At 37.4% G+C, this 13,596-nt stretch overlaps 2 long non-coding RNA genes across 3 annotated transcripts in view; one reads left to right on the top strand and one right to left on the bottom strand.

Moving 5' to 3' along the window:
• Positions 1 to 13,596, top strand: part of LOC107986420 (uncharacterized) — a 39,066-nt gene that overhangs the window by 19,109 nt on the left and 6,361 nt on the right. The gene's annotated exons all lie outside the window — the stretch shown is intronic.
• Positions 12,864 to 13,596, bottom strand: part of LOC105379007 (uncharacterized) — a 38,941-nt gene continuing 38,208 nt past the window's right edge. For both annotated transcript variants that reach the window (XR_948392.3, XR_002956213.2), the window contains one exon: positions 12,864 to 13,514. This is a non-coding gene — a long non-coding RNA (uncharacterized LOC105379007). The remainder of the gene's footprint in view (positions 13,515 to 13,596) is intronic.

Raw genomic sequence — 13,596 nt, 5'->3', positions numbered from 1 at the left:
TATATATTCAGTTTTGTCATTTTTCTATATTTTCTGTAAACTGAAAAATCTTGGAAACCACTCCCCAGGCAATCTGTTTGCACAAGAAGATGATGTGATGTGATTTGTACCTTGACTAATTCCCACAGTCATCTTTCTCTCTTATTCCAAGCAAAAGGCCAGTAGGATATCAGTCCCACTGCTTTGGCTATAATTTTCTCCAGGTACTTATGTGGTTAATACAAATCAAAGAACAGTGGGTTCCTCTGTCTCTTTCTACTGAACATTTTCAATACTCTGATGAAGTAGGTATCATGTCATATTGTGAGAAACCCCACTTATCCCATGAGCTATCAAGAGATGAACTTGGTAGAGGAGTATTTCATAAAGATTGACAGACCAATTATTTATTTACGGCATGTAACTATTTTTCTTAGGTGTCAACTAAAGATTCCTTTGATCTGAACCGAGTGGAAGAGCAAAAAGATTATAGACAGGAGTTCTTAGTCAATTGAGAGACCCTAGGTCACACATGAAAATATAGCTTTAAACTGAAAATGTTGCAAAGGCAATTTGTTCTGCCTCTTCTCTCAGAATATTTATCTGAACCATTGAGTCTGGAGGTCTCTGCAACAATCCTATTGGAAATCTGCATTATATCTTTAGCAGAGAGGAGGCATGTGATGATATGTAGTATTGGTTGGGTCATACTGAGGGGAATTGAGTGACAGTTGGGCCTCAAGTTTATCACCTCTGTGGTCTAATTGGCTATTGGTAAAGTGGTCCCTGTTTGCAGATGAGTTCAGAGGTGAACAGGACAAGCCATAGGCATCTGGCACCCTACCGTTCATTTTGCTATTCTTGATTATATCAGTCAGTATTTAGGATGAATTTGCCACGGAAACATTTGGGAGACTCTTTGGCTTTATAACTCAATAAAGGGATTATCAATGATGGTGGTAACTAATTCTAGTTTTTTAGTGCTTACCAGATACCAGGTATTCTCCTAAGTAGCATACATATGTTAAATCATTTAATTCTGTTATCAACCCTATAAAATAAGTATTTATTCTAATCTTATGAAAAATAAGCTTGCCCTGGGTCAAATGGCCAGTGAGTGTGGTAGAGATGGGAATCAAGTCCATGTCTGCTTGACACCAAAGCCCATTTTTAAAAACCCCTATGCTCTAGTATCTTCTATGTTAAGCACATTGAAATTGTTCATTTGATCACAGTACTCAGTCTCTGCAATTTCTCTCTCTAAGCTTTGTCTAATAGAAAAATGGAAACATCGCATTCAAAAGTCAGTGAGCCATAGCCACTGTTATGCATTTTCATTTTTTGCACTTGAAGCATTAAAAAAAAATAGGCCCTAACTGGGTGGAAATGGCTGTACAGAATGTCAGGGAGAATTCAAGGGTTTCATAGCATGGACCAAAAGGCCAGTCACATGCCTCTTACCAGAGGCATGCCTGCTAATCTGTGGCATGTCAGAGCCTGCACACCAGAGTGTGATGTGCCTATCACTTTATCCAAAGGAATCTAGCCCACATGCCCATCCCTCTAAGTGCTACAAGGCTCCCTGCAGCCAACTGAGCAGGGTGCCAGCCTCCACATATCAAGGCAATTCCTTCCAAGGGGAGTGGGTGACGGCAGGACAATGGTGTGACCAGGCACTGGCAGTCTGTGTGTGGTCTGAGATTGCCAGAGTTATGAACGGAATCTGCAAAATGTGGCCTCCTTCACATTCATTCTTGGTACTGTTTGGTGACATTTGCCGTAGAACAGAGGTCCTCAATAAATGCTGATGATTGTGATAAAGATTTACATAACAGCATGCTGCAAGTGTAAGCCTCCTGCTAAAAAAGCAGATATAATAATAATACATAATGCACTGGATAGGTTGTTTAGCATTAGCAATTTACAGCTTCAGAGAAATGGCTCGTAAAATGTTAGGGCTAGGAAGAATATTAAAGACAATAGACACTCTAGCTCCCTCATTTGCAGATACTAAAACAGGTTTTAAAAAAATATAATGCCTTCCCCAAAGTACTATATAGTTATTTCATATGAATGTTATATAAACTTAGATTTTTAAAAAATATATTGAGAAGGTTAGTACTTGTTTTTAGAACGATTCTTTTTTTTTTTTTGGAGGTAGGATTAAATATCTGATTTGAGGCTCATCAGTTCAATTTTTTTACACAAGTAATGGATGTTACAGGAAAAGTGTACAGTCTGGGCCTTGCTGACATTGCCTCACAGGGTAGCCGTTTACACCGAGCCTGGCACAGATAAGCATCAACACATTTTATCATTCTTGTTATTGTTCCTAAACATGCCTATTGACCATTGTTAACACAACTGTCTCCAAATACTTTTGATGTAATACACCTATTTGTAAAACATTTCGAGCATGTTTCTCAAATATATATAATATGTAAATCATCTAATGGATTACTCTATGTATTATTTATATTATAAAGAATGCATGAAGGAACAGAAAACCAAATACTGCATGCCTCACTTATAAGTGGGAGCCAAACACTGGGTGCTCATGGACATAAAGATAGAACAATAGACACTGGAGACGGCTAAGCAGGGAGAGAGGGAGGGGAGCAGAGGCTGAAAAACTATTGGGTCCTGTGATCACTAGATGACAGGATCATTTGTGTCCCAAACTTCAGTATCACACAATATGTCCATGTAACAAACCTGCATGTGTACCCCCACCGAATCAAAAATAAAAGTTAAAATTATTAAAATAAATAAACAGATAAATAAAGTGTGAAACAGAATAAAAAGGGTAAAATAAAAATAACTATATTTGAGTGCATGGAGTTTATTTTCCAAGCTGTTACTTTTTTATGTTTAAAATTTTCCATAATATAAAAAGCAATGAGAAAAAATTATTAAAAATGAGTTTTTTCCTTGTATACTTCTTACGACTTGTGGTGCATCCTTTGTTTTCTAACTTGAAAGTGGAGGATCAATTAATCAAACCAAATGACTTCTTTGGCTTCCTGAAGAGGGCACCTTCAGAAGCCTCCCAGTCAGCCTTGTTCTTTGCTGAGTGTTCCGCAGGAGTGTGTGTCCCACGCTTCTGAGAATAGAACTTGCAACAGGAGAGGAAAGTCACAATTTACCTGGCCTGAGAAACTGGCAGGACGTATGTTTTGAGCTGTTCCATCATTTCTATCCCTTCCTCCTCTTTATTCATACCCAACAAATCACTGAGTTCAACTGATTTTTCTAATCTCCACCGCATTTTCTTGAGGACAGGTGGATGCTAAATGATGTTGCAAAAAGCCTATTGTGGCATTTGTTTTAATGTCATCCTCTATACAGGAAGTGACATTTTCTCCAAGAAGAATTAAAAACAAAAAACCGAGAAACCTCCCACTAACACAGCAGACAGAATAATGATAATTCTTTGTAAAGTATCTGGCAGCCAGAAAAAAAGATGTAGCTTGGTGAAGAGGACACAGACGATGCTGTTGGACTTCAGTATCACACATTCACCACAGAGTTTGCAGAGTACCCTGGAAAGACAAAATCGACTGACTAGCAAGTGAGTGCATTAAAGAACAAGAAAAGAAAAAAAGGGCAAACTACCTCTTAGAAATGAGGCTTCTGAAGCAAGGAGGAAACATCCCCATTCAGATGTGATTAGAGCCAAGGGGATCCAGGGCAGAGGCAGGAGCAGGTTAGCTCAGAAAATGTTCTTTGAATTCCACTGGCTGAGGGTGGTTGCCTGCTTAGGTTAGCAGGAACTGGTAGCCGGCCATCAGCATCAATGTCTATCTTTTAGGCGTTGTTGTCCCCAGGTATAGATCAAGAACTATCTGATCTTTTAACAAAGTATGTTGTCAACCCATTTTCACCACACCCTCCTGTCATCTTTCATAAAGTTCTGAGTTAAAGTTCCCTTTGGGTTTTGTTTTTCTGTAGGTAGATTTTGGCAAACCCTACCTGGCTCTTAGAATGAAGCTTCTAGTGGCCAAAGTGGTAAAACCACTATAATGGGATACCGTTTCTCATTCATCTGTCTATCCCCAGTGCCTAACACAGTGCCTGGCATACGTAGGGTGCCCAGTTGTATGTGTTGAACTTTTGAGCTGATCCCACCCATTCTATGCAACTTCTTTACTCTCCTGAAACACTTCCACTCCAGGAACGTGGGTCCCCTTAGCAGCCCTTGAAGCTATCTGGTTTATTCTTATGACTTCATTGCTCTTTCTTCCATCTCTCTCTCTCTCTCTCTCTCTCTCTCTCTCTCTCTCTCTGTGTGTGTGTGTGTGTGTGTGTGTGTGTGTGTGTGTGTTTGTGTCTCCTTCCCAAATGCAATCTTCCTATAAATCCTTGCTCAGGACTTGCCTCTTCCCAGGATCTACCCTGATGTTTGCCATATTTTCCATCCCCTTTTCTTTTAGGTATAGTCAATATGCAACACCACAAGCCCCGGCTCCTGTTTTCCACGTGGTTCTCACTGCGGTTACACACAGCCTGTAGGATATTGTAGAATACCCATCATTCTGGAAGTCAGGAGACCTAGGGTTTAGTTTCAGCTCTTCCTCCAACAGTTAGCGAATCAGCTGGGAGATCATGTTTCCTTCAGTGGGACCATTTCCTCCTTTGCTAAATAACACAACTGTAGCTTTAAAGTTGCTTTCCTTATTGTGAGGTTTGCAAGAGCAGGAGCTATGTCATTTATTGATTTTTTAAAATAGCAGTATCCATGCATTTGACAGATGCTCCATAATATTTGTAAAATTGTGATTGTGACCAACTGAAATTAAACTTCTGATTCCCAATTTCAAGCAAGAGTTTGTACATTGAGTGCTGCAAAACTGGAGAACAGCTGCGGTAAGTATGTAGGTGGAGGAGGCAGGGCACTTGTGGCCAGAGCTGGGTGGCCGGGCTTCTGGCCCTGGGCCTGCCATTTTCCACCTTCCTCACTTATTTACTTTATCCCTCCGGCCTCAGCTTCTTGTCCTAAAGCCAGTCGGTTGAAGGTGATAATTACTCCCATTTCAGTTTCCCAAAAGCAGCACATTTTCTAGTCTTTGTTCTCCCATATCTCATCCAGCATCCATATCTTTCAGAAACCAGAAGCCACACAATCTTGAAGGCAAATGTTGCCTTGGAGATCATGGGATATGCTTAGAGATACCAGCACTGTTCAACCCAGTGCCCCTGGGGAAGTTGCAGAGTGACCGGAAATTCAAGGGAGCGACTGAAAGGGTAGTGGGGCCCAGCGGGGAAGAGACAGGAACAAAACCAGCTGCTCAGTTAGTTCGTCAGTAGTCAGGACTGAAAACACACTGTGCTGGTAGCTAAAAGGAAGGTGACAAGAAACCTGAGAACAGGGAACTTAATTATCACTAAAGCTTCCAGAGACACCTCCACCTTCTCAGGTTTTCCTCCAGCATTGATGACACAGCTTAACACTAACAGCACTAGTATTGTGTGCTTCATTTGTGTCTGGCCAGAAGATAATTCGGAAAACTGGATTCTTTGTTCTCCTATAAAACTTACGCTTCCTTATGGGTTGAACTGATATAGGATAAAAACAGAGAACTTGAATATTAAATATAAAAATTATTAAGAAAACAATGTGAGATGTAGATTGTGCTCAATTCTTTTCCTATTTGGTGCAAAGTGTAACCATTTCTCAATGAAGCCCCAATCTTATGCTAACTCATTGATCGACACAGACATTCTTATGTCCATTCAGCAGACCTTTTTCTCAGTACCCATCATGTATCACACACTCTCCTAAGTACGAGGAACAGCAAGATGAAAAAGTCTTAGTTGTGACCTTACAGGTTCTAACAGTCTAATGAAGAAAAAGAGGAACAGACAGATAATTAGGATATATTTTGATAAGAAATATAGTAAAATTTCTGTAGTCTCAGCTCAGCCCCTTGCATGTTTCTTTCATAGCAACCATCCCAGTTTGTAGTTATTTTATTTGTATAGCTACTTTGCTCTGTCTCTCCAATTAAACTGTAAACACTGTATGGGGAGGGATCTTGTCTGATATTCCCACTCTTATATATCTCGCACCTAGCCCAGTGCCTGGCAGTAGTAAATGCTCAACAGTTTTAAATATATGAATGAATTGGCTTGTTCTGGAATTCAGTTTTTGAGAAAGGAAGTCAAGAATTATGGCTATTTTAATGTACAGCACAAACTAGAAGGCTTTGAAAACTGGAATCATTATGAACTAAAATCTAAATTTAAAATTATTGGAGGCATGCATCTAGATTATAATTATAGAGGACATACATCAAAATGATATTATACATATATCTCTGGATAACAATTTTTTTTAAAAAAGAAGGCTCAAAATAAAAGCTTGGAGTAGAGATGCCTAAGGGAAGAGAGGGGAAGACCATGATACAGACTTTGAGAGTTTACTATAAGCCTGACACCTTGACCAGCTACCTGGCTAAATGCATTTCAGGGCAGTGGGTTATATGTTCTGAGAGAGGAAGGAAGTCTTTACAGTTCTTTGCCTTCCACCTGTAGAAAGTCTTAACTGGCACGATGTTCATTCACAGCAGGTATTCAGATTTTTCTAAAAGACCCTCTGCCTCATCCTGCCCTGCCCATGGGTCTGGGGTGCTGCATGGGAGTCTAACACTTTTCATGCTTTCCTGCTGGAGGGATGCTGAGCCAGCTGGGCCTGTGGCCATGGCCCCTCTGTCAACAGGTGCAATGAGCCTACAAAGCTTCATGGCTGGGAGCACGGTAGGGTGAGGACAAGTTGAGCTGCTGGCAGAGAGGCTTTAACAAATGTGTCAATTAGGAGCTATCCTGCTTACAATCTTCACAGAGCAAGAAAGAACAGAGCTTCTCGCTCACTCTAAGTACAGAAAGCTTGTGAATGAGGCAGAGTTTCTGCCCTGCAACCAGAAAGCTTGCAGCTGAGGGCCTGAGGGGGATGGACATCCTCCTCTCCAGAGGTTGCCCAGAAGAGAAGAGAGGCCAGAAGTCCAGTAAGCCATAGGGTGGGGAGATCACAGTCACCACTTACATGGGAGTCTGATGCTTCCATTTGACTCTGGCACAAACAAGAGAACAAGGCAGGGGAAGAAGGAGGGAGCAGAACAATCATGGTCAGAACTCCAAACCAGAGATTCTGTGGGTTCACGGAAAGCCTGTAGCTCTGCTGTTGTTGCTGGTGGTACTAGAAGCTCTCAGGGCTTGGGCAATTTGAGTACAGGCCCGAAGGGATTCACATGCATCCTCATTCCTCATGGCAGAAGGAGGATCCTGGGGTTACACACTTGAAGCATGTGTATTCTCTGGAGTGAACAGATAAAATCCAACTTATTACGGCACAGAAATTTCAGGATTCAAAAGTGTTCTTTGTCTTAAATAAAAATGGTTGACAGATTTGAAATTTGTGGCTACAGATAAACATAGGGCAGAAAGGTCAAAGGCAATTTTAGAAATCCAGGAATCCAAATATCAAATTTAATTCCTTTAAAATATCTCATGCTTTTCTTACTCACAGTTCCTCCCAGTTGAGACTTGAACACTTGCTGACAAAATATGAACACTGGCTAATCTACATTGAACAATTATATACATAATATCAAATGTTAATAAAGCTGGAATAGTACTCCTTCAAGATATCCTATATCATTGCACCAAAAACCTTTGGGTAGGTTATTATGTGCATTTTGGTACATAAAACTATTATAAGCATTATTGTAAGCATTATTATCTTTAAATAATTTCCAGTTGTTTCATGGCTCTCAACTCTATTACCACTTCAGTAATATTATGAGTAAGAAATTCTGAAAAGCCTTCTTATTGCATACACCTAGCTATGTTTCTTAATACTTAACTAATAATCTTTGAAATTCATATGTAGGGTCACACCCACCCACAACACAAATGCAAGAAATCTACTGGAGCCAAAAGATAGTGAACTAAACTAGAGTGATGTATGTGTAATAGAGACATGGGCTACACTGAAGGGATCTGCCAGTACGAGGAGCTTCAAAAGCTGCGTTGTAGTAGCCATGAGGGAGAATGACAGACAAAACTTTGGCTCACATAAAGTGTGTAGAAAGAACAAAGACCTCCAAATACCCTGCAGTTATGAAGGGTTATAGCTACAGTAAAAAGGGGGCTAAAAAAAATCTGTTTCCTGGAAAAAGAAGCTGGCAAGGAAATATGTCTAAGTTCTTGGCTTGAGGTGGGAAAATTTTTTTCTGGAAATTAGCAGCCATATGACTACCCATGTACAGAAAAAGGATTCAAATTAATATCACTTGCACAGTCCAGGGAAATGCAATTCAGTAAATTAAATTAAAATATTTTGGGGTCAGGGATGTTCCGGGATGCTTGGAAAGAGATAACACAAATTCCTTCTAAAAGAATGCATCTCAGCCTAGGCGTTTCAGAATTTGTGTATATAAAAACAGTCAAATATGGGTCCTAGTCACATTGTTCAGGAAGAAAAAATATATAAATATTATCAGAAACAACAAAAAGCAGAGCTAGACACCCCTCTGTTTGATATTGGAATTATTAAACACTAAGAAAAAGTGTGATTAAAGTGTTTTCAGAAATACAGAAATTGGAAACATGAGTGTAGAATGTGATACTTTCAGACATGACCAGGCAGATTTGAGAAAGAATAAAAAAGGACTCCTAGAAGTAAAAAAATATAATCTTCAACACATAAATCTAAACAGAAGATTAGATAAAGCTAAAGAGATAATAAGTGAACTGGGAGATAGAGCACAAGATATTGAAACAAATGTAGGAGAGACAAAGAGATGAAAAATATAATAGAAAAACAGAATGAGAAGCTCTAACGTATGCCTATTTGAATTTAAACCAACCAAAGATTAAAGATAATGAAAAAGATGCAATATTAGAAAATAAAATAGTTGAAAAATGTCTAAAATTGATGAAACCCACAAGATGCAAAGAATTAGATATAGAAATTAAAAAAAACACTTCTAAAATCATTGTAATATAACTACATAAGGTTAAAGACAAAGAGGAAACCTTAACAGCAGGCAGAGAAAAACAGAGTTGACCTATAATAAAACAAAAATTGTATTGGTAGCAGACCTCAACAGAAACAATATAAACCAAAAATTGGTTTATAATACCTTCAAAGGGATGAAAGAAAATAACTGCCCTCTGCAAATTATATATGGTGATAAACAAATACTCAAAAACAGAGGTAGAATAAAAGGTATACAGCTTGGGAAAGAAAATATAATACCATTTGTTCACAGGTGATATGATTGCCTATGTACAAAATCTTAAAGAATAGACAAGAAAAGTTCTAGAAGTAATAAGTGATTATAGTAAAGTTGGAGGATATATGGCTAACATACAAAAATCAATCACTTTCTTATATGCCAGCAATAAATAAGAGAAATTTGAAATTAAAATTATATTTATTATCATTTACAGTGGTTCTCACCAAAATAAAATATTTAGATAAATATCTAACAAAATACATATAATATCTATGTCAAAAAACCCACAGAACTCTGATGAAATAAAGAAATAAAAAGTGGGATGTCCCATGTTTATGGTTAGCAAGATTCAATTTTATCAAGATGTCTGGTTTTTCCAACGTGATTTATAGATTCCCAGCCAAAATCTCAGCAAGTTATTTTACGGCTATCAACAAACTGATCCTAAACATTACATGGAGAGACAAAAGACCCTAATAGCCAACTCGATATTGAAGGAGAAGAACAAAGTGAGAGAATTAAATTTACCTAACTTCAAGACTTACTAGAAGTCTACAATAATCAAGACAGTGTGGTATTGGCAAAAGAATAAACGAATAGATCAATGGAACAGAATAGATAACTCAGAAATAGACTCACATAAATATAGTCAACTGGTCTTTGACAAAGGAACAAAGGCAATGCAATGGAGAAAAGACAGTCTTTTCAACAAACGGTGTTGGAACAGCTGGACATCCATATGCAGAAAAAAATTAATCTAGATACAAACCTTATACCCTTCACAAAAATTAATTCAACATGTATCAGAGACCTGAATATCAAAGGCAAAACTATAGAACTCTTAGAAGATAACGTAGGAGAAAAACTAGATAATCTTGAGAATGGTGAAGACTTTTTAGATACAACATCAAAAACATGGTCCCTTAAAGTGAATGCTTCACATCTTGTCTGACAACATTCGTGAAGCAACTGACTGGATACTAGACCTTGGACAACACTGCTTTAGAGTAACCACATGCCTCCTGACCGTACCTGCCAGCCGAAACAGCCAAGGTATGATGTCTACCTCACTTCTGTACTCCAACTCTGATTGGTGGTGCTTCTGTTTGGTGGAAACGAAATCATATCCAGAACATTAGCCGCAAGAGGCTGGAAAACCATTTTAGCATTCTAGCCCTTGTCAGTTAAAAAAATTTGCAATAGACGCTGAACATCATTCCTCCATGTCTACCACAGAGGTGACCAGAGGTAAAATGTTCCAAGGTCATTGTATTGTCCAGAAACAAAGTAGAAATAATGAATAGTTTTACATTTTAATTTAAATGCATATATTAACATTTTAAGGTCAACTATTAAAAGTAGCAAAGTACATATCTTCTATAAACATAGGTTAAAAAAATGAAAAAAAAAATCACTGCTAAAAAAGTTTAGAAAGAAGAAATAAAAGAAACATAATAAAGGCAAGAAAATAGAAAGTTCAAACTAAAAATGTAGAAAAAACTTTAGTAATTTACTTTAAATATACAAAATCTAAATCCAGGTGTAAAAGAAAGAACTTAACATATTGTGTTAAAATTTTTAAAAAGAAACTTCTGGTTTTTATTTTCACTAGAAGTGAATCTAAAATATATGTTGACAGGAAGACTGAATATAAAAGTGGAGCTCATTGCCTGGAAAATGGATCAAGAAATTGTGGTATAATCAGGTAACATGGTATTGTACAGCACTGAAAATAATTAAGTGCAGAAAACAGGGTGGGTGATTCTCAGTAACACGAAATTGAGTAAAAATAGTAACTCCTTCAAAACAACATACAATATAATAATATATATATGTGTGTGTGTGTGTGTGTGTATATACATATATATATATATATTTTTTTTTTTTGAGACGGTATCTTGCTCTGCTGCCCAGGCTGGAATGCAATGGTGTGATCTTGGCTCACTGTAACCTCCACCTCCCATGTTCAAGCAATTCTCCTGCCTCAGCCTCCCGAGTAGCTGGGACTACAGGCGTGCACCACCACGGCCAGGTAATTTTTGTACTTTTAGTAGAGATGGGGTTTCACCATGCTGGCCAGGCTGGTTTCGAACTCCTGACCTTGTGATCCACCTGCCTCGGCCTCCCAAAGTGCTGGGATTACAGGCATGAGCCACCGTGCCCAGCCTCAATATAATGTATTTTTTATGAAACTAAAAGATATATACTGTTTGGGCATACAAATATATGAAGTGAACTTAAAAGTTGATAAAAAACAAACAAATATATGAAGTGAACCCGAAAGCAAAACAAATACAAACACACCAAACAAATGATAAACACAAAATTTAGGATAATTACTGCCTCTGAAGGGGAACCAGAAGTGTGAAATATAGAAGGAGCTCACATATAAATTATTGGCAATGCTCTATGTATTGGGAAGTTGGTTCCTGGGAGTTTATAATATAAACATACAAATGAACAAATAGACAAACAATGAAATAAAGAATGGTCATGGATAGATCAATAAATGCAGTGCATACTGCACCAAGGACTTTGATTAATCCAACTCTATGCAATTGACCTTCATAAAAAAACTGTTAAATATATTCAGGTAAAATTTAATGACATCTGGTATAGCTTACTGATAAAATTCCTGATATCTTCATGGCAAAGGCATTAGTAGGCATTATAATAAAAGGTTAAATCCAACAGGAAAGTATAATAATTCTTAACCTCTATCCACCCAATAATATAGCTTGAGAGGATACAAGGAAAAATTTGACACAATTATAAAGAGAGATTAATAACTTTACTAGCAAAATGGAAGAAGTTTAACATATTGGTTGAATAAGTAGGCAAAAACTTACTAAAGGATATAAGTTTCAGTAAAACAATTAACATGTTTGATCTGACGGAAATAATGTAGAACCCTGCAACCAGCAAATTTAGAATGAATCTTCCTTTAAAAGGCACATGGAGTATTTATAAAGACTGACCACATACTAAGCCCTTAAAGCAAGTCTCAGTCAGTGTCAAAGTATTTCTATTATAGAAATCATACTATCTAACCCTAATATAATTAAGTAAAAAATTTTAAAACACACAAGAAGTTTACTGCAAAAAAGTCCAAACGTGGAATTTTAATGGGAGACGGTTCTAATAATTAACTTAACTTGTCCATGTGATGGTTTGCATGTTTGTCCCCTCCAAAACTCATGGAATTTGATTACCATTGCAGTGGTGTTGGGAGGTGGGACATTTAAGAGATGATTGGGGCATAAAGACTCTACTCTCATGGGTAGGATTAATGCCATTATAAAAGGATGAGTTTGGCCCCTTTTGCCTCTTTGCCCTTCCACCATGTGATAAAGCAGCAAGAAGACACTTGCTAACTACTGGTGCTTTGATCTTGGACTTCCCAGTCTCCAGAATTGTGAGAAAATAAATTTCTCTTCTTTATAAATTACCCAATTTGAGGGATTCATTATAGCACCAGCAAACAAACTAAAACAATCCATGAAAGCAATCAGAGTGGAAGTTACAATATTTTTAAACTTACTAATTAAAATACTTCATATACAAATGTGTAGGAATCAGCTAAAGTGATAATCAAAAGGAAACTTAGAAGTGAAAATGCTTAATATTAGAAAAATGTTGTTACGATAATGCCAGAATTAGAGGAGTCACAATATATCAAACCCAAAATGTCAAAGGAAGGCAATAATAAAGACTTGAGAAGAAATTAATGAGATAGGAAATGATATTCAGGATTAATAAATACCAAAGCTGATTTTTTGATCGAGGAAAAAAGAGAAGTCACAAATAAATTAAGCATGAAAAGAGGACATAACAATTGACATGGCAAAGATTTTAAAATATGAGAGATTTCTCTGAAAATACTTATGCCAATAAATTTCAAAAACCTTAATGTAATTGATTTTTTAGTTAAACAATAGTTAAAATTTTTCCTAATAACAAAAAATTTGGTTTAGATGATTTTATCAGAAAGATTTATCAAACATTCAGATAAATGTTGATTCCAGTCTTACACAAACCAATCTACACAATTCAATATCCTTTGCTGTAGATGTGGTCATGTGACTTTGTTTTTGCCATTGAAACGTGGGTGGTTGTAATGTACAATGCCACTTCCAGGCCTGGACTTTTGAAACTTCCCATGGTATCTTCTACACGGTCTCTCTTGCCTTTTCTGAGAGCTGGATGCAGAGTAAGTGGCAGAGTACTTCAAGGACTTGGTGGATGGTACAGACATAAAAAGAAGTGTGTCCCAGAATGGCCATATAGAATGATGCCCTTAAACAAAGAAGAACTGATTAGCTTTTGCATCAGTGAGAGATAAACTTTTATGAGATTAAGCCACTAAGGTTTGAGGTTC

The sequence above is a fragment of the Homo sapiens genome, chromosome 5 (genome assembly GCF_000001405.40).
Source record: "Homo sapiens chromosome 5, GRCh38.p14 Primary Assembly".
In the NCBI taxonomy this organism is placed as follows: Eukaryota; Metazoa; Chordata; class Mammalia; order Primates; family Hominidae; genus Homo; species Homo sapiens.
This window is presented reverse-complemented; position numbering and strand designations above follow the sequence as displayed.